General features: G+C 34.1%; 1 long non-coding RNA gene across 1 annotated transcript in view; it reads left to right on the top strand.

Moving 5' to 3' along the window:
* Positions 1–18,569, top strand: part of LINC02220 (long intergenic non-protein coding RNA 2220) — a 155,415-nt gene extending 136,846 nt beyond the window's left edge. Inside the window, exon 5 of the long non-coding RNA NR_147005.1 lies at positions 18,466–18,569. This is a non-coding gene — a long non-coding RNA (long intergenic non-protein coding RNA 2220). The remainder of the gene's footprint in view (positions 1–18,465) is intronic.
* Positions 18,570–19,109: the final 540 nt, after the last annotated feature.

Genomic DNA, 19,109 nt, shown 5'->3' with positions numbered 1-19,109 from the left:
CTCTTAAAAAAAAAAAGGTCACATTCTGAGGTTCTGAGTGAACATGAATTTAGGCAAGGTGTGAGGGTATGGGGCAGGACCTTATTCAACCCACTATAAACATCAGACATCATATGTTTATAAAACATGAAAATTAAGATGATATTTCCAACTTTATTTGGGATGTGTTTTTGAGGACTTCTCAAAAAGAAGCATAGGACTTCTGTGTCACTCTTTCATGTTCCCCAATTAAAGGGGGACTCTGGAGGATTCTGATGTGGATGAGTGACATGGGCCCTGTGGGAGTGTGCTTGGGAAAATGCCCAACAGCTGGTCTGCCTCAATCAGTTTGCATCAGTTAATAAGACTGACTTCTGTAGAATTTTGAATTAATCGGTACCCTCAAAAAATTCTCTGAGAAAGCCATTATATTTTTGGTAAACTGTAGGTCCTCTGTCCATATTTATTTTCTTTGTGAGTGGCTTATAGAAACTTGTGCTCATGTGATGATGAATATGGCTTTGCAGTACTTTGTAGAGAATACACTTATGGAGCCCAACAAAGCCCGTTTTATTTATGTATGTATTCACAAAATTCACAAGATTCCCATCATAGCAGGATAGAATGTATACGTGAATGTATGAATAAATTGTGACAGTCTCTTGCTGTCTCGTCTCCCTCTACCTTCACCTGCATTATTTTCCTTTTTTACTAAAATGAATAATGCTTGCTATATTTCAAACTATTTATACCCTAAAACAAGTCATATGTTTATCCATTACACAATTTAATTAAATATATAAACATGTACATGGTAGCATTTTTCAAATCTATGAGCACATTGTCTATCTGTTGCTATTAATAATCTTTGAACGTGGTTCTAGGTGCTGAACCCAATTATGATTGATGACAGGGGAAATACAGAGATTTCATGTGTGGATTTTTCATCTCTTCCCTATCCTACTGAAGTTCCTCTAGACTCTTAGATATATATTCATTCATAAGTGAAACAGCATAAACTTACATTTTCTTCCACATAGCTTTCGTTAATGGTCCATGCATTTATGAATTCAACTTTTATTGGATCAGCTATGTGTATGAAATCAGTTGGATTCCAAAAGCTATTTATAAAGAGAAGGGAGCAGAAAGCAGCATCATGTCTTAACAATTATCAATGATCTGAAGTCCATATAGGAATGACTCCACCAGCTGGTGTCAGTCAAAGGAGTCTATGTTCTTGATGTTCAAATACTTAGCATTCAAATATGGGGATTTTGTGCAGACAGCCAATTCTAACTCTAGTTATGTAGGGTTAGAGAATAGTCCTGAATTAATCAGTTGGCAAATCCTTTGACTTTGTATATGTAGAAACAGTGATCTGTTCTTATTTTTTATGTAATCATACACCATAATGCTATTTTATTGGCCAAGAACCTGAGAACATCCTCATGAAAAGTGAGACATATGATTATTTATGTATTAGTATAATTAAAATTATATGTACAGTTGGCCCTCCATATTCATAGTTCCTGCATCTGAGGATTCAACTGACTACTGATTGAAAATATTTAGATAAAATTAAAAACAGTACAGTAAACATAATACAAAGAAAAAACAATCAGTGTAACTACTGTTTACATAGTGTTATGTATTGTAAATAGTCTAGGGATTATTTAAAGTATACAGAAGGATGTGTGTAGGTTATATGCAAATACTATACCATTTCATATATGGATCTTGAGCATGCACACATTTTGGTGCATATATATGTGCCTATATGCACGAATGCATATACGTGTGTGTGTGTGTGTGTGTGTGTGTGTGTGTGTGTGTGTGTGTATGTCTTTATCCATTTAGAATCCACCAACAGGATACTGGAGGACTTGCAGTCAGCATATACCAATGGAAAATACTCTCAGGAAATTTTCAGGAAGAAGGTAAAGAAAGGGAGGACATTTATTTCCCTGGATTTCTTCCCTCCAGAACCACATGTCAGCAGTCTCTTTATTCCTGTATTGAAGCCAACAGTTCCTATGGGGTAGTCCCTCCTCTGCTTCAGTTCTCTACCTAGTTCTGGTAACTGACCCCGCCCTTCCCTTCTCGAACAAGGACAATGGCTATCTTCCTGGTATCTGCTTTATTGTTCCTTGTTTATTTCTTTTATACTTTCTCACACATTTTTAAAGGTGCTTTAATTTTACTCTCCTCAATTATACTCTTTGTGAATTGCTATTTGTTTTCTGTCAAGACCCTGACAGGAATGCTTACATAATCCTCTGTCAGCCAAGAGTCATATAATCTCAAGACCTTGGGTTCTGGAGTTGACTCGGCATATTTATAAGCAATATCAGTGCATTTATATTTCTGAATTCCCATCCTCGCTTCCTTATCCTTGTAAGCTACCAGCCCTTTGCTTTTATCTAGCTCTGAAATATTCCATTCTGGTTCTTTCTGTTTGTGGTGTGGAGCTTCTTATTAAAGGGAATGGCAATAGAAAGGAAATCCAACTATATTTCAGTTTTGAAAACAATGATAGCCATGGAATAGTCTTAGTTGTGTTAAATAATCTTTTTGAATTTTCTTTCTTACATGCAAGACTTCCAGGAGCAGGTCTACTCTACTTGTATAAATACATAATAAAAGATTAACAATAATATCCTTGGAGGCTTAGCTATGGATAATGATTTAGATTGTGACACCAAAAAAAAAACCATACGATCAATAATTATCTCTACATTCAGGAAGAAATTCCCAGATCCCAGGCCAAATAAATTATATCTTCTTTCTGGGAAAGTTCCAGAAAATAGCAAACTGTTTCCACAATTACTGGTAAGATTGAGAAAAGACACTGCTCGGAAGAGTCCAACTGCGATTTATTTCCTGATATCAATAACTGAAGAGAAATTGTTCCCCTAGTTATATAGATAATGGAGACCAAATATGTTACCGTGGCAAATTGCTGAATTAGAAACCAAACACCCCATGTTCTCACTTACACGTGGGAGAAGAATGATGAGAATATATGGACATATGAAGGGGAACGACAGACTCTGGGGCCTTTTGGAGGTGGGGTTGTGGGGAGGAAGCACATCAGAAAGAATAGCTAATGGATGCTGGGCTTAATATCTAGGTGATGGGATGATCTGTGTACCAAACCACCATGACACTCGTTTACCTAAATAACAAACGTGCACATCCTGCACATGTAACCCTGAACTTAAAAGTAGAAGAAACAAACTAATAAAATAAAATAATGCATGCATAGAGATAAATAAATAAATAGGTATTCATTACTTATAGAAGTGGACCATTTGTTAAGCCTTCCTAAAGCTTAGTTTGTCACCTTAACTTTATACTAAGTCAGAACACAAAAGAAGTTCATTAAGGGAAAAGGATCTACTGACTAAAATGTCAGCAGAGGTAGATAGTTGTTAAACATCTTTCTTGGGCCAGGTGTTATCCATTATGTTGCTTTAAAAAACAGATCAGTCTAGTCACTGTCAACAAGGAGAGTATAATCTAATAAAGGAGAAACACATTTTATAAATTATAGTTTTCTTCTGAGAAGATGAATTAGGAAAGGCAAATGCATTTACAATCTGCTGAGAGAAATGCATGGCATTGAGGTAGAGAAAACTGAAAAAAGCACAGAGAGGGTTTAATCTGTGCCTATTGTATCAGGAATAAGACGCAGCCATGTCTTCAGTAGGTTGCAAGTTTGAAGGAAAAGCAGCAAGATATGAATTTCAACAAGCGTATTTGAACAAGACAACGAAGAGCTTTAAAAGACACCCTTTGGAATTTTAACTTGATTATTTTGGCATTTAAAATATTAGAGATTTTTCAGAAAATGAAACAGTCACTGTTTAAGTATACTCATGACAATTAGGGTGAGTGATAGAACCACTGAAAAATTAGGCTGTTTAAGGACACACATGCTAAAATAACAGCAAGAAAACTATGAGACGAGAAAATAATAATTTTTAATTAAAAATTATATTGCTAACTGTTTACTCATATGCTCCTAGTGACACTGTAAATTAATATGCTCTGCAAAGAAACTAAAAGTATGAAATCATAAATTAAATAATTTATTTTGCCCTATTTTACACTACTAACTCTACCTTGGGTAATATCTATGTATTTTTCACATACATACATACACACACACACACACACAAGCACATACACATACAGGTATGTTCACATGTGTACACATACATTTAATTTTGGGCATAATATAATATGTACATGTGTGATATGTTCTATGTGCATGTATATATACATATATAGAGAGATAAGGATATATCACATTGGTATATAATATATACCAAGTTATATAATATAAAAATTCACAAATTGACCTATAATAATGAAAATGCATAGTAATTGACCACTGACTAATTTTAGTGTTTGTCATTGTATTAAAATAATATGCTGTATATAGGGGCATAAAGATTTGAAGAAAATATTTTATGCTAGTTATATATTTTTGTCAAAACAAAATATGCTGTTTAAAATATAACATAGAACAGAAAACAAAATGTACTCCAATGATGAGAACAATGAAAAGTGATGAGGAGGTATATTTTACATTGTTATTTATATTATTGTGTCATTTTTACTTTAATAGAAAAATGTCTACTAAATATATGTAAATAGATATTCTAAATTACAGATAGGCATGCTAGTTGAAAATTTAAATGATATTGTTACCATGATCTTATTCTTCATTATGTCCCATACCTAGGGCAAAGACTGCTCATAGAGGGTACTTCATAAATACCTACTAGAGGCCGGGTGTGATGGTTCATGCCTGTAATCCCAGCACTTTGGGAATCCGAGGCGGGCAGGTTGCTGGAGCTCAGGAGTTTGAGACCAGCTTGGGCAACATGGCAAAATCCTATCTCTACAGAAAGTAAAAGAATTAGGCATGTGGCAAGTTCCTGTAGTCCCAGCCACTCAGGAAGCTGAGGTGGGAGGATCTTTTGAGCCCAGGAGGTGGAGGCCAATGGGCATAAAGAGGCAGAGACATTTGTTGCCTACGACTTTGAACACAGGCATTCACAGTGAAAGGAAATTGAAATGAGTGTGGGCTAATGGTCGAAGAAAACATTTTTTTTAGTCTTGTATACGGTTACGGGGACCAAATAGTTTCAAAAGGGAATCCCCAGGCTTTCAGAAGGGAAAAAAAAAAAGAAAAAAGAAAGATGACTGTTGAAGGAAGGCACCCAGGAGGCGGGCAGGAAAAGGAGGTTTTATTTTATCCACAACAGATTTCTCCAATATGTAAAATAGATTCAATGAAATCAAAAGATAAATTGCTCTCCCTGTCTATGAGAGCTTTAATATCAGGATTTTCTGCCATAACTTAGCTTATTGGGCAGACAGAGATATGTTCTCCATTGTTCAAGCTCTAACATAAAACCATGTATTCAGAACATGTCAAGGGGAAAGGCAATTATGCCATACTGCAAGCAAATGAGCTGTGAAGCTGGTCCAGAAATAAAAAGGAAAAAAAAATCAGGTAATGTGAAAGAAAATGTGAGTATATGAAGGATGGGAATGTTCAGGAATATAGGGGATAATGGCTGATTCATGTATTTTGGTTGCCTCTTTAAACCACTGAAATTTAGGATGACCTGAGAGTGTTTAATATGTAAAATGATTGTATTTTATTTTATCATTAAGAACCAACTCATCTTTACTTCTAGTTTCTAAAAAGGCTAGGAAACCTCATGACAGAGTACAAGTTTTGAATATTTCTGTCTGCCTCTCTTTATCCCTACCACTCTCTCTTCTTTAGTTTAAAATTAGTAAATCACTAGGAGGACATCACCTGATCTTCATTTTTAAGGAACTAGAATAAGACTAGTGGATTATCTAATCTTGTCTAAAGGGGAAAGTTCAGACATTTATATTTATTTTGATGTATAATAGCATAGCGAGATATAATTGTATTCTGAATAAAATTAGTTGTCTAATTTTGACTTGTTTTTATGAATGGCTTTATATTATAATTGTAAATGAAATGAAAGCAAAATATTTATTAAAATTATGAAAACAATTATTTAACAGAAGAAACTGAATTCCAAAAAGCTGTTATATTTTACAAATCATTATGTCTGCAAATATTATAAAGTACAATTCTTGAAATAAGCTTATTTCTAAAGAATTTTCTTAGAAACCATGACAATTAACAAGTAACAGAGATCATTTTCTTTCTTGATTATGTTTTTAAAAAATTTTTAATCTCTTATAGCATAAGTAGTTGAGAGTTGAAATTTAGTGTTTATCTCTGGTATTGCATCCCTAAGGATAATTCTACATACCACCAAGGACTGTGGGTCGTCCGACCATGAGACATTTCCAGACTTTTCCAAAAAAAAAAAGATGTTTTCACTGGATACTCACAGAAAAGAAGCTTATGAATCAACGTAAACTACAACAAAATAAATGCACACATTTTAGCAGTAGGTAGAAAAGATGGGATATGAAGAATACAATTCTAGGGCAACTTTTTAATGCTTAGTAATACATAGGGCAAAATTAAAATGTTACAGAATGAGCTTGGCTTCTTCAGATTTCCCTATTGGCCTCATACCTTTGTAATGGTTATGAGAAATCCACTGAACCCCAATGAAGATACACATTCATACCTTGAGGAGCGCTTTAACTCACATCCAGTGAAAAAGCCAGTAATGGATTCCATACTTTTGATAAGCATTGTGTGGAGTATGTACTTGTATAAATATATATGGTAAATAGTTATCCATTCTCTAGTGGGATTATGGCAACCTTAAAAAGAAATTGTTTATCAATTTTAAAATAAGTGAATGTTATTCTCTCACTTGGATGATTCTTTTTTCTTGTTCTCTTCAGTGGTTGAACTTCTGCTTGTGTATTTAGCTGTCTGTGCAACAATGTCTTTTTGGTTCATGGCCCTTCTACTTAATCACAATGTATGTTTGTCTTGAGCAATTAATATATTGGAGGATTTCTTTTTGTTGAACACGATACAAGATTTTCATTTACTCATATCATTTTAACACACTTGCTTCAATTAAATGCCATTGCTGCACCCATATTATAGATAAAGACACTAAAATTCAGAAAGATAGACTACATAGCTTTTTCTGAGTGCACATACATGTGTAGTATATAATATACACACAGAAACACTTATATAATCACTATCAAAACTGAGGATTGAACCAAGATCTGTAGCTAATGCCAATGATACTGATTTTAGGATAACATATGTTTAGGATACAATGCATGCTGAAATGCTAGCCGTTATTATTACATGATAACCATATATGAAGATTGTGTTTAACTGGAACTGTGATGATTATTACAAAATAACAATGTGTCACATTCATATTATCTCCTGAATGCATTTTGGAGTCTAGTAAAAATATCGTTAGTCCCTTCAATCAGGATTGTGGAATACAATATTGAAACTTGGGCACAATGACCCTTTGCTATCTCGCTGTTTCTTATAATTTTCATACCTTCTAGGAATATAAAAAGTTCTCAGGTATAATGGTTCTACTTCCTGATATGGTCAAACTTTAAAACTGACCAAATTATCTCTGTCTCCTGACATGCATGCCCTGTGTAAGGTCTTCCTCTTGACTATGGGCAGGAGCTATACTTGCTTCTAACCAACAGAATACAGAAAAGATAAAAGAATGCCTCTTGACTGATTACACTACATGAAACTCTAACTTTTGCTTTGTTAGCAGCATCTCTATTGACTTTTCTGTTTGCACAGTTTGATGAGGCAGGATACCATGCTGTGGAGACCCATTTGGCAAGAAACTAAAGGCAGCCACCATCCAAATGCTAGGAAAAAGCTACAGCTTTCTGTCTGATGGCAAAGGAGACACTGAATCCAGTCAACAATAACAGGAGTTTGATGGAAGATCCATTCCCCAGTGGAGCCTCAGATAACACCTCAAGTCTGGCCAACATTCTGACTGTAAACTTATGAGAGACCCTGAAGCAGAGAATTCAGCTAATCCATGCCTGGGTTTCTGACTCTCAAAAATTCTGAGATAATAAATGCATGTTGTTTTATGCCTTTAAGTTGTGGTAATTTGTTATGCAGCTGTAGATGACATGCAGATTCAAGTATCTGAAAATGAGGGGCTGCTCTGAAAACACTACAAATGTGGGAGTGGCTTTATAATGAGACAGTGAACAGAAGATAAACAATTTTTGAAAAGCATGGTAAAGACTAAGTTTTCTCAATCAGACTATTATGAATAAGAATTTTGAGGACACCGCCAGTGATGGCTCAAAAGGAAGTAAGGAATATGTTACTAGAAACTGGAGGAAGGGAGACATGTACCAGCAGGGAGCTTAGTGAAGTTGTCTCTTGTAGTTATGTAGACAACAGAAAATATAAGTGATGAACTTGGTTATTTAATAAAGGAAACCTTCAAGAAAAGTGTTGGATATGCCAGCTGCTTTTTTCTTGATTTCTGTAGCAATGTGTCAGAATATAGGAAGATAATTTGAGGAAGGAACTGTTAAATCAAAAGGACTTGATAATTTAGAAAATTCTAGCTTTTCCAAATGACAAAAGATGTTAAAATTAGGAAATTGTTTCTATGAACTGTCAGGAAAACATGGTCTTTAGATAAAGCTTGGCATAGAGAAAATGGTGTAATTACACAATCTTTGCTAAAACTTCAAAAGATCAAATGATTAGAGTATTTGGTCATAAAAATGGCCTTTTAAAGCTATCAAAGTTTTGTCTCACAGATCCTCTCAGTCTAATAATAGGACCTCTAGGAAGCTTAATCTCTTGTCACTCACTTCTTTCTATGGGAGTCCCAGGTAGAAGAGGGATTATATAGAAGGGATTTGAGGGTATGGCTTTTATCTAATAGAAAGAAACCCTGGGAAAGACAGAAAACACCTACTCAGTTTTTGAGAAAATTGTTTTAGCAAAAACACTGCCAACTTGGACTAAAGGGATAATGGAGAGTGAAAAATGAAAAGAGTCGTTCAGACTTCTGAAATTCTACAGGCAGCAACCAAACCACTAAATCTACTTAGGCATGGAACATTCTACTTCCATGAAAAAAAAAGGAAGGCTGACTGAGAGGCTGGAATGAAGAACAGAGAAATAAAGGGGGCACCAAGGAGAATTATTCTGAGGCTTTGAAATTTAGTCAAGGATTAGCCAACACTTTTCCCTGGATCAATTTTAAAATCAATATGGACCAGTAAATCATTTGTCATCCTTTTTGGACAGAAATGTCTATTCCTGCTGTCCTCTGACTGTTATACCATGTGTGTTGGGTGTGTGGGGGACAGATAACTTGTCTCTTTAGCTTTATAGATTGACAGGGTAAAGGAAATTATACTAAGGAAGTTTCTTCCTTACCTGGATCTAATTTTGATGATAAATAATTGGACATAGAGCAGACAGTTTAATGGGATGGGACTCAGGGACACTGGGAGGAGATGAATGTATTTTTTTTCTATAAGAAGGACACAGATCACTGGGGTCAACAGATGGGCTGTGATGGAGAGACTACAACACAGCTCAATTTGTTCCCAATTTGGTAGTCACTCAAATTGGGAACTCAATTCGTGACTCAATTTGGTAGTCACGTTCCTGTGTAATAATCCTTTGAACAGAAGCAGAGCCTGTTACTTGTTTCTAACTATTAGAACATGGCAAAAGTGACCAGAAATCTGTCACTTCTGTAAGCGATTTAATCTCTCCATGCACTGTTTTCCTCATTTGCTGATTGGGAGAAGTCGTTGGGTTGATTAAATAAATACTAACATAAGAACTTTAATATAAATAGCTTCTAGACATTCCTTGAGCATTACTTTCACACACATGTGTTCAATAAAGATTAGCTGTTACTGTTTCAAGATAGATGCTATTATTGTTATATTTAACTAATTTATGCCATATTACACAGTTTGATTATAGGCAAATAACATAATTAAACAAGAATTACAAGAGAAAAGCATAGCTAACTTGAATAGAAGAAGAATTTGGCAGTAATTGGTGGTATTATAAAAAGATGCCAAGAAAAGTTGCCATTTGAGGTGGGCCCAATGGATTAAACTTCATTTAAAAACATGTTAACAAAATGAATGAGTTTTCCATTGAAAAGATATAGAGAACAGTGGTCTACCCATTTCAATGTAAATGAGAAAGGTATATACAGGAAAATGGCATAGTAATTATTTTTGGGAAGGTGTTTTTATAGGAGACTAAGGATAAGTCCTGAAATAGCTGGTTAGAGTACAGATCTTACTTTGTCTAAAAATAATTGGGGACATGTAATTTCTCTAGTTCCCATAAGAGATTGAAAGGAATCTGCAAATGATTTCTTACAGTAAAGAAGTGATTGGGTGTAAATAACTTTGTATATCTCTTTTATAGGATCATATCTTAATTTTGAAATCTCCTGTCTCTTTCAATCGATTGAGTGGCAGTGCTTTCTTTTCATCAGTACATTCCAAGGGCATGATGATATTTTGCTCTGAGGAGACCGTTGTAATATTAGTTGTGTTAAAGTTGGATGAAATTAGTGTGTCTTGTTATGAGCATGTTTATAAATGATGATCATTATTTGGATCACTCAATTCATCAATCCATAACATTGTCTAGTACACTAAAATAAAAATCCACCTGCAGTTTATTTGGGGAAATAAATAAGTACCAGGGAATTAGGAAAAGAGAAATACGTGCAGAGAGCTAATAGACAATGTTAAACTCCTTAGTGGCCATATGCTTGTCTGTGTATCCAGATGACAGCTTTTGTTAACATGTCAGCAGAAGATGGTTAATGAGAGTTAGCCTTAAACATACTGCATCAGGGAGCAGTCTAGTGACTCACATAAGTTTCACAATGACAGCGAAGACATTGCTTAAATTAAAACAGCAATGCAAGAAATAGGAAGAAATGGAATTACCATGTGTTAACTCACAAAATCATATTAAAATATTACACAATAATTTAAAGCAGGTATAATTCCTTGTCAAGGGAAGATATTGGCATAAAGTATCCAGTTAGTCTCTCCACAATGCAGACGAAGCTGGGCTGAGTATTTGACTCTACAATTCCCTAATCTATTGATTTTACCTAGACTCTTGTCTAATAGTTACTAAAATATAATCATGGAATTTAGTAGCTTGAGGGCGCTGAAGTAGAGACAGTGATTCTTTAAATTGTTATAAAGGGTTATATTCCAATGGAACTCATTTTACCTGATCTCCTAATAACCTCATTGCTTTATTAACTGTCCATCACCATTATATAAAACCTCAGATAGATATTTTATTTTTTACCAATACGACCTACAGGCAGTATTGATTTGTTATCACTGCAAACATTCAGCTCCTGCCTTATGAACTTAACTTCATTTTGGCTCCTGCTCTAGTTGCCCTTGACCAATTTTTCTCTGTGTTCCACTTGGCTGAACTGACTTTATTGTTGATTACTCCCCAGGAAACAACTGCTATTTTTTTTTTTTTTTGGTTTCTCTTCAAATCCTCATACCCTTTTTGCTTACTATTCAAATAATGACAAATAAGTATGATAATTTTATATTATAACTTGCAGTGAAGTGAATTATTGTGAGTGTGCCCATTTCTTGGCCCACTGAGAATATCTCGTTCTTTCTTCAAATCATGATATGAGAAACCTGAGAGATGACGATACGCTCCTTGCTACGATGATGCTGCAAAGGGCTTTCAATATTGAGATTTGCCTTCAAAAATAATTAAATACCATATAATGTAAATGAAAAAGATAAACACCTTTCAAAATATGTCCAAGGGATTCATTGGTATTGTAAACTTGTGTATTAATATTAATACTAAATAGCTGATTCACTCTATAAATTTACAAATGGCCTAAATCCAAATGTTGCAAAAGCTCAAAACATCCATTATGCTAACTTGTTTCAAGTACATTTCTATCTTCAATCTAAAATTTTCACCCAATGACCTGCTCATAATTTGAGTGAATTTAGTATTATTTCAATAATCCTTAGTTTACATTGTAACCAGTAAGAACCAGAAATAAATGGCAAATAGGAAGCTGAGTAGGCAGCTGAATTATTGAAGCAACAATAAACCTAAGCATTAATTATTCTGTAAACAAGTGAGAGAGAAAGAGAGAAACAGAGACAGAGGGACAGGGAGAGAGAGAAAAAGAGAAAGAAAGAAAAACAGAGTATTCTAGAGCAGCAGTTCCCAGACTTTTTGGCACCAGGGAGCCGTTTAATGCAGGCAATTTTTCCACAGAAGAGGAGGAGGGTACCATTTCAGGATGAAACTACTCCACCTTAGATCATCAGGCCTTAGATTCTCATGAGGAGCGCACAACTTAGACCCTTCACATGCACATGAGCAGTTTGCAAGGAAGTTCGCACTCCTATGAGAATCTAATGCCACTGCTGATCTCACGGGAGGCGGAACTCAGGCAGTACTGCTTGCCAGCCGCTCACCTCCTGCTGTGCAGCACTAAACAGTACTGGTCCCTAGACCTGGGGTTTGGGGAGCCCTGTTCTATAGAGCATAATTATATTTTCTTCATCTACTTTTTAAATGTCAGGATACATGCTTGCCAAGACATAATATAGCATATTGTTCAGAAGTGGAACAGCACAAAGCCACACACACACACACACACACACACACACACACCTCCCCCACACATCTACACAGGTATGCACATGGCAGAAAAAATATCATTTTTGTGTAGACTAATATGGATGAACATGGATTTTTAAGTATAGAGATAATAAGAGTTTATATTAGGTGGCCTCTAAATTCCCAGTAAAGTACAACACAGAGTAATCTCCAAGGAGTAAAAGTAAAGATAGCATTTGGAACTTGTAGATACTAGGAAATTACTGGAATGTGGTAGTTGACAAGTAGAAATCAATAAAAGCACTACTGAAGGTCAGAGAGAAGACTTGTGGCTTGACAATCATGCTTCCCATGATGCTTTTCTTGGGCAATAGCTAACAGATTGTGAGCAATAATGACAACAGCAATGAAAACAACGGCAGGTGAATGTGTGATCAGCCTAGGATTTGGAATTGAACATACAGATTGGAAAAGTGAAAAGAAACTAACATTTGTTAAAGGCCACATGGAAAGCATTTTAGATTGAGTGTTAAAAACCAACGCTTTGCTCTCACTTAAAAAAAAAAAGCTGCTGTTTAGAAAAGTTAAATATCTTTTCTCAAAATCTATTAAGTAGTAAAGTCATGAATTGACCTCATAGCTATTTAACTTCAAAGTGTATATTTTTTTCATCAAACTATGCTTATGTTGATTTGGGCTTAAAATTACTACTAAACATAGGAAGCAAAAAGTGGTTATAGGAACTAGGCTGATGAAGGAGAGAGGCAAAAATCATAAAAAGCCACATGGATGATGAGAGTGGGGTGTGTGTAATAGTTCCAGAATTGTTAATGAAGTAAAAAGAACGCAGTGGAGGTGTGGAGTATGGGGTGTGGGAATACAAGAGGAGATATTTGTGTATTTTATGTTCACCATGGGATCAAAAAACTGCATCATGTAAAATAGACACATAAGTAAATATAACAGAAAACAGTATACAAAACTGCCTGGTCTTAGTTGTTTACTAAAAATGTTTTATATGTTTTCCTGTAGAGAATATGAATGAGGTTTTAAAACACCTTATCTTTATGTGTGCATATTTAAGAACTCCCCGTGGAGAACAATAGGATTAGCATTGTTTTTAAGCGTTATTGTCTTTAGCATTTGGCAATAACATCCAATCATTATTGTGACAATGGATATCTTGTTTCAAATTTTTATAGCAATTATGCCCACTCTGAATCAACTAAGTGTGACAAAAATGTCACAAGCTAGAAAGAAGTAAAATGTGTTTTATGTATGATTTAATAGGTTATTTATTCTTTTATCACAAATTATACTTAAACATCTTTGATAAAAATAAGATATGGTTTCCAGATACTTTATATTGATGTGATTAATATAGCAAAACAGGTAGAATAAAAGACTGTTTCTTCACATCAAGTATATTTATAGCAAATATTTGCAACAATGCTTGCTCAATATTTTGGACATGTTTGAGGCTAAATGGGATATTATCTATGATGGGCACTATGAGATAATCATAAAAATATTGTTAATAATAATGTGTATTCACAAATTATGAAGGTATTCTTCACATCTAACAAGCAGCTTTTTAAATAATAGACTTTAGGTTGATTCTGTGTCTTTGCTATTGTGAATAGTACTACAATGAACATATGTGTGCATGTGTCTTTATAATAGAATGATTGATATTCATTTGGACATATACTCAGTAATAGGATTGTTGGGTTAAATGGTATGTGTGGTTCTATACAACATGGATACTATGAAGTCATAAAAAAGAACAAGATCATGCCCTTTACAGGGACATAGAGGGAGCTGGAGGAAATTATCCTTAGCAAACCAATGCAGGAACAAAAATCCAAATACCGCATGTTCTCAGTTCTAAGTGCTAGCTAAATGAAGAGAACACATAAACACATAGACGTTAAAAATACACGCTGTGGCCTTTTGGAGGGTGGAGGGTGGGAGGAGGGAGAGGATCAGGAAGAATAACTAATGGGTACTAGGCTTAAGATCTGGGTGATGAAGTAATCTATACAGCAAACCCCTATAACAAAAGTTTATCTTTGCAACAAACCTGTACTTGTACCCCTGAACTTAAAAGTTAAAAATAAAATAAAATAAAATGAATATATACAACAATAAAAAATAAATAAAAATAGATTTTATTTTTAAAACACTTTTACAGTTAGGGAAAAGTTGAAATGGTAGTATAAAAATGTCCTATATACTCTCTCACTCAGTTCCCCCTATTATTACTATCTTATATGACTATGGTGCATTTGTTATGATGAATGAACCAATATTGGTGCATTAGCATTAACTAAACTCTATAGTTCATGTCATTTTTATTGAAACATATCAAGGGTACAGACTATTGATGTTGACCTTGATTTGAAGTTGAATTTACCAAGTTTCTCCAACATAAAGTTACTCTCTCCTCTACCTTTTCATACTGTACTCTTTGGAAGAGAGCTACTGTCAAAGCCCATGCTTAAAGAGTGGAATATTTTCTTCCTCCTTATTCAGATAAGGATATCTACATAAGCTGTTTGGAATTCTTATGCATGGGATATTTGTCTCTTCTTCCTAATTTAGTTATATATTTAATAAGAAAAAAGGAATATAGAGATTATAATACAAATTTCAAAAGTACAATCAAAAAGTAGAATAATAAAACCAAAAGTTGGTTCTTTGAAAAAAGTCAATAAAATTGCAAAAATTTAGCTATACTGATCAAGAAAGTGGAACAAGACTTAATCACTAAACTCAGACATGAAAGTAACAATATTATGTCAAACCTTAAAAAAAAATTATAAGAAAAAACTATGAAAATTATACACTACAAATTAGATATCCATGAAGAAATTGACAAATTCCTAGAAACACAGATTACAAAACTGACTCAAGAAGAAATACAAAATCTGAATAGACATTTAACAAATAGAGATTGAATGTGTCATTTAAAAAAAACTTCAAGTAAGAAAATCTCACAACCAGATGGTTTCAACAGTGAATTCTATCAAATATTTAAAGAAAACTAATGCCAATCTTTTACAAACCCTTCTAGTAATCAGAAGGTGAAACACTTTCTAAATCATTCTATGAGATCAGCATTATGCTAGTACCGAAGATAGAGACTGACATCATAACAAATGAATACTATAGGCCAATATCCTTTATAACAATTGACACGAAAATTATTGGCAAATAGCAGCAAACAGAATTTAGCAGCATATTAAAAGGGCAATTCACTATGACCAAGTGGGATTTATTCTAGGAATGCAAGAGTTGTTTAACATTTAAAAAATACAAAAACACTAAGGGCAAGACACCAAAATAAAATAATAAAAACAACAACAAAAATATGTACATCTCAATTTATGGAGTAAGATTATTAGAAGAAAATTAAACCTCTTTTGTAATCGAAAGACTCAAAAACTAGAAATAGAGGAAATTTCCTCAACATAATACAGGGCACTTATTAAAAAAATAAACACTCTAGTCTACTCAATGATGAAAGCTTTCATCCTCAGAGCAGGAACAAGATGAGGATATCCACTTTAACCACTTCTATTCAACATTTACTTGATATTCAAGCCAGAACAATTAAAGAAAAATACAAATAAAAGATATACAATTAAAAGAAAGTAGTATAATTAACTCTATTCACTGTTGTATAATTATATAATATTCCAAAGAATGCACAAACATACATACACACAAAAACCTTAGAGTTAATACATTCAGCACATTTACAGTGTACAATGTAAATACACAAAATCAACAGTATTGCTATAGACTAGCAACAAATAACCTAAAAAAGAAACAAAAAATTTTCATTTACAATAACATCAGAATGCGTATATATAATTTAATGTTATTATACACGTCTTTCACCTTCTTCATTATATATATTATTAAGCTTTTACATATATGTGTGTGTATATATATATATATAAAATGAAGGAGAAAGATGTGTATGCTGACAACTAAAAACCACTGTTGAAATAAATTAAGAACCTACATAATGAAAAATATCTTGCATTTATTAATATAAATAATTAATATTAAGATGAAAATACTCCCCAAAGTGATCTACATATTCAGTGCAAACCCTGTCAAAATCCCAATGGTTTTTGTTTTCAGAAACGGTAAAGTCAATTCTACAATTCATATGAGATTGCAAGGTACCCTGAGTAGCCAAAATGATTTTGAAAAAGAACACATTTGGAGGATGAACACTTTTCAATTTCCAAACCTTCTACAAATCTCAAGTAATTCAAACAGTGGAACTGGCACAAGGATAGGCATATTTATCAGTGAAATATAATTGCGAGTCGAGAAATAAATGTATGCATCTGTGGTCAGTTGATTTGTAATAAGGGTGCCAAGACCATTCACTAGGAAAAGAACACATTAACACATGATGCTGAGACAACTGGATATCCACATTTTGTGTATTTATCTTGTATATTGTACCTGTGCTGACTATGTTAACTCGAAGATTGTGTGTATGTGTGTGTGTGTTTGTGTGTATTCATGGGAATGTTGTGTTTTTAAAATTATGAAAACTATGAATGGAGATAGTTCTGCTATTTCCTTTTTAATTGTATAGCTTTTACTTGTTTTTGGTTATCCAGTTGCATCAGCATCATTCGTTCATGTGTTCTTTTCCTATTGAATGGTCTTGTCATCCTCATTAAAAGTCAATTTATCAAAGATACATGAGTTTATAAATCTGTCAGTTGACAGACTGAAGTTTATGAATCCAGTTGAAACAACTGGATATGCAAAAGAATGAAATTGGATCCATACATTAAACCAAGTACAAAAATAAACTCAAAGTAGATAAAGACCTAAATGTGAGTTAAAACTAGAGAACTATTAAAATAAAACACAGGGATCCATTTCATGACCTTAGAATTGGCGATGTTTCTTTGAGTATAATGCCACAAGTAAAAGTAACTAAAGAAATAATAAATTGGACTTTATCAAAATTAACTTTCATGCATCAAAGAAAAATATCAAGCGAGTGGCATTAATGATTTTGAAAACATAATGTTGATTGCTGATAGCAGGTTGATTAAGAATGTATGTTGTTGAGAAACAGTGAAAAGTACACCTATGTCTAGTCACAAATAAGTTTCAAGTGCTATGATGTTTATTTTAAAATGTATAAACATTTCAAATTTTAAAACAAACATACTTTTAAAACAAATATTATAGCACTTGAAATTATTTATGATTAAATATAGGTGTATTATCAAACAACAGCAAAAGAAAAACAGACTTAGAGAAACTACTCCAAAATTTCTCAATAATGTTTTCTCCAGAAGAGAAAGATATTTGGTTGCAGATATTTGGAAATGCTCAAATATGCTTCTCATTGTTTTCCATAAAATAAATAACAATTTTAAAGGTAAATATAGTATAGTTTGTGGGTGTCTCTCATCTTATCTTTGCATTTTTCTGTATTTTAAATATCTCCAAATTAGATGGATATGTTAATGAGAAAAAAAGTCTATATTAAAAATAATTCTATTTTCACTACAAAAATATGTGAACATAAAAATTATAAGTATACTCATATACTATACCTTTTTCAAGTAAATATTTTCTTAATATTTTACCAATACTAATTAAAGGTGGGTATATTATATATAATTTATAAGTATTATAGACACCTCTAAGTTTGCTAAATGTAATTAGCACAATAATATATGAGCAATATTTCAAATAATTAATAAGTTCTACCTTTGTTTTTAGTTATCTAAAATTATATGTTTACCATGCTTGTGAAGTAGGATATTTCCCTGACCCCTTCTTGGGACTCACTACAGGGTTGCCTCATTTACTCAGCGTGACAGTGTAAACTCCTTGTGGGAGGGAGCATGTAAGCAAACAAGTGCAGGAACTGGAGTGAATGACCACTGGAACCTGCCAGCTGCTTCGGTGCCAGGGGGATCAAACCCCACTCACTCTTACCTGATGCCTTCCACCCCTTCCAGGAGGGACCACGCAGGTGAGTAGGTGTAGGAACCAGAGCGAGTGCTTTTCGGTGCTGGCAGGAACAAACTCAGTTTACTCAGCTTGCCATGCTCAAATCCCTTGTGGGAGGGAGCACAAGTAGGGGATCCCACTGGCCTGTTTTGGGTGCTGGCAGGAGCAAACTCCATGTAGGCCCTATGGTAGCATCCAGGTCAGGGTGCCTGTGATGCCCAATGCCCCAAAGGGTGCGTTACAGTGCTCTTTTAGCTCTGCCATCCACTGATGGCTTAAGTGTTAACAGCTCAGTGTGCCCTTTGCCTTTTTGTGTGATGCAGCTGCCCTCTGCCAATGAGGGCAAAGGACCAGAGTGACAGCCTTTTGTATCTGCATTTGTGACTCCTGAGCTCTTGTCTGGCATCCAGGAAAAATGAAGTCATATTAATAAGTTGAAGGATGGTAAATGTGGGGGATTTTATTGCTGCTGAAAGTGGTTCTC

Source organism: Homo sapiens, chromosome 5 (genome assembly GCF_000001405.40).
Source record: "Homo sapiens chromosome 5, GRCh38.p14 Primary Assembly".
In the NCBI taxonomy this organism is placed as follows: domain Eukaryota; kingdom Metazoa; phylum Chordata; class Mammalia; order Primates; family Hominidae; genus Homo; species Homo sapiens.
The sequence above is the reverse complement of the archived record's forward strand: the minus strand, read 5'-3'. Positions and strand labels throughout refer to the sequence as shown.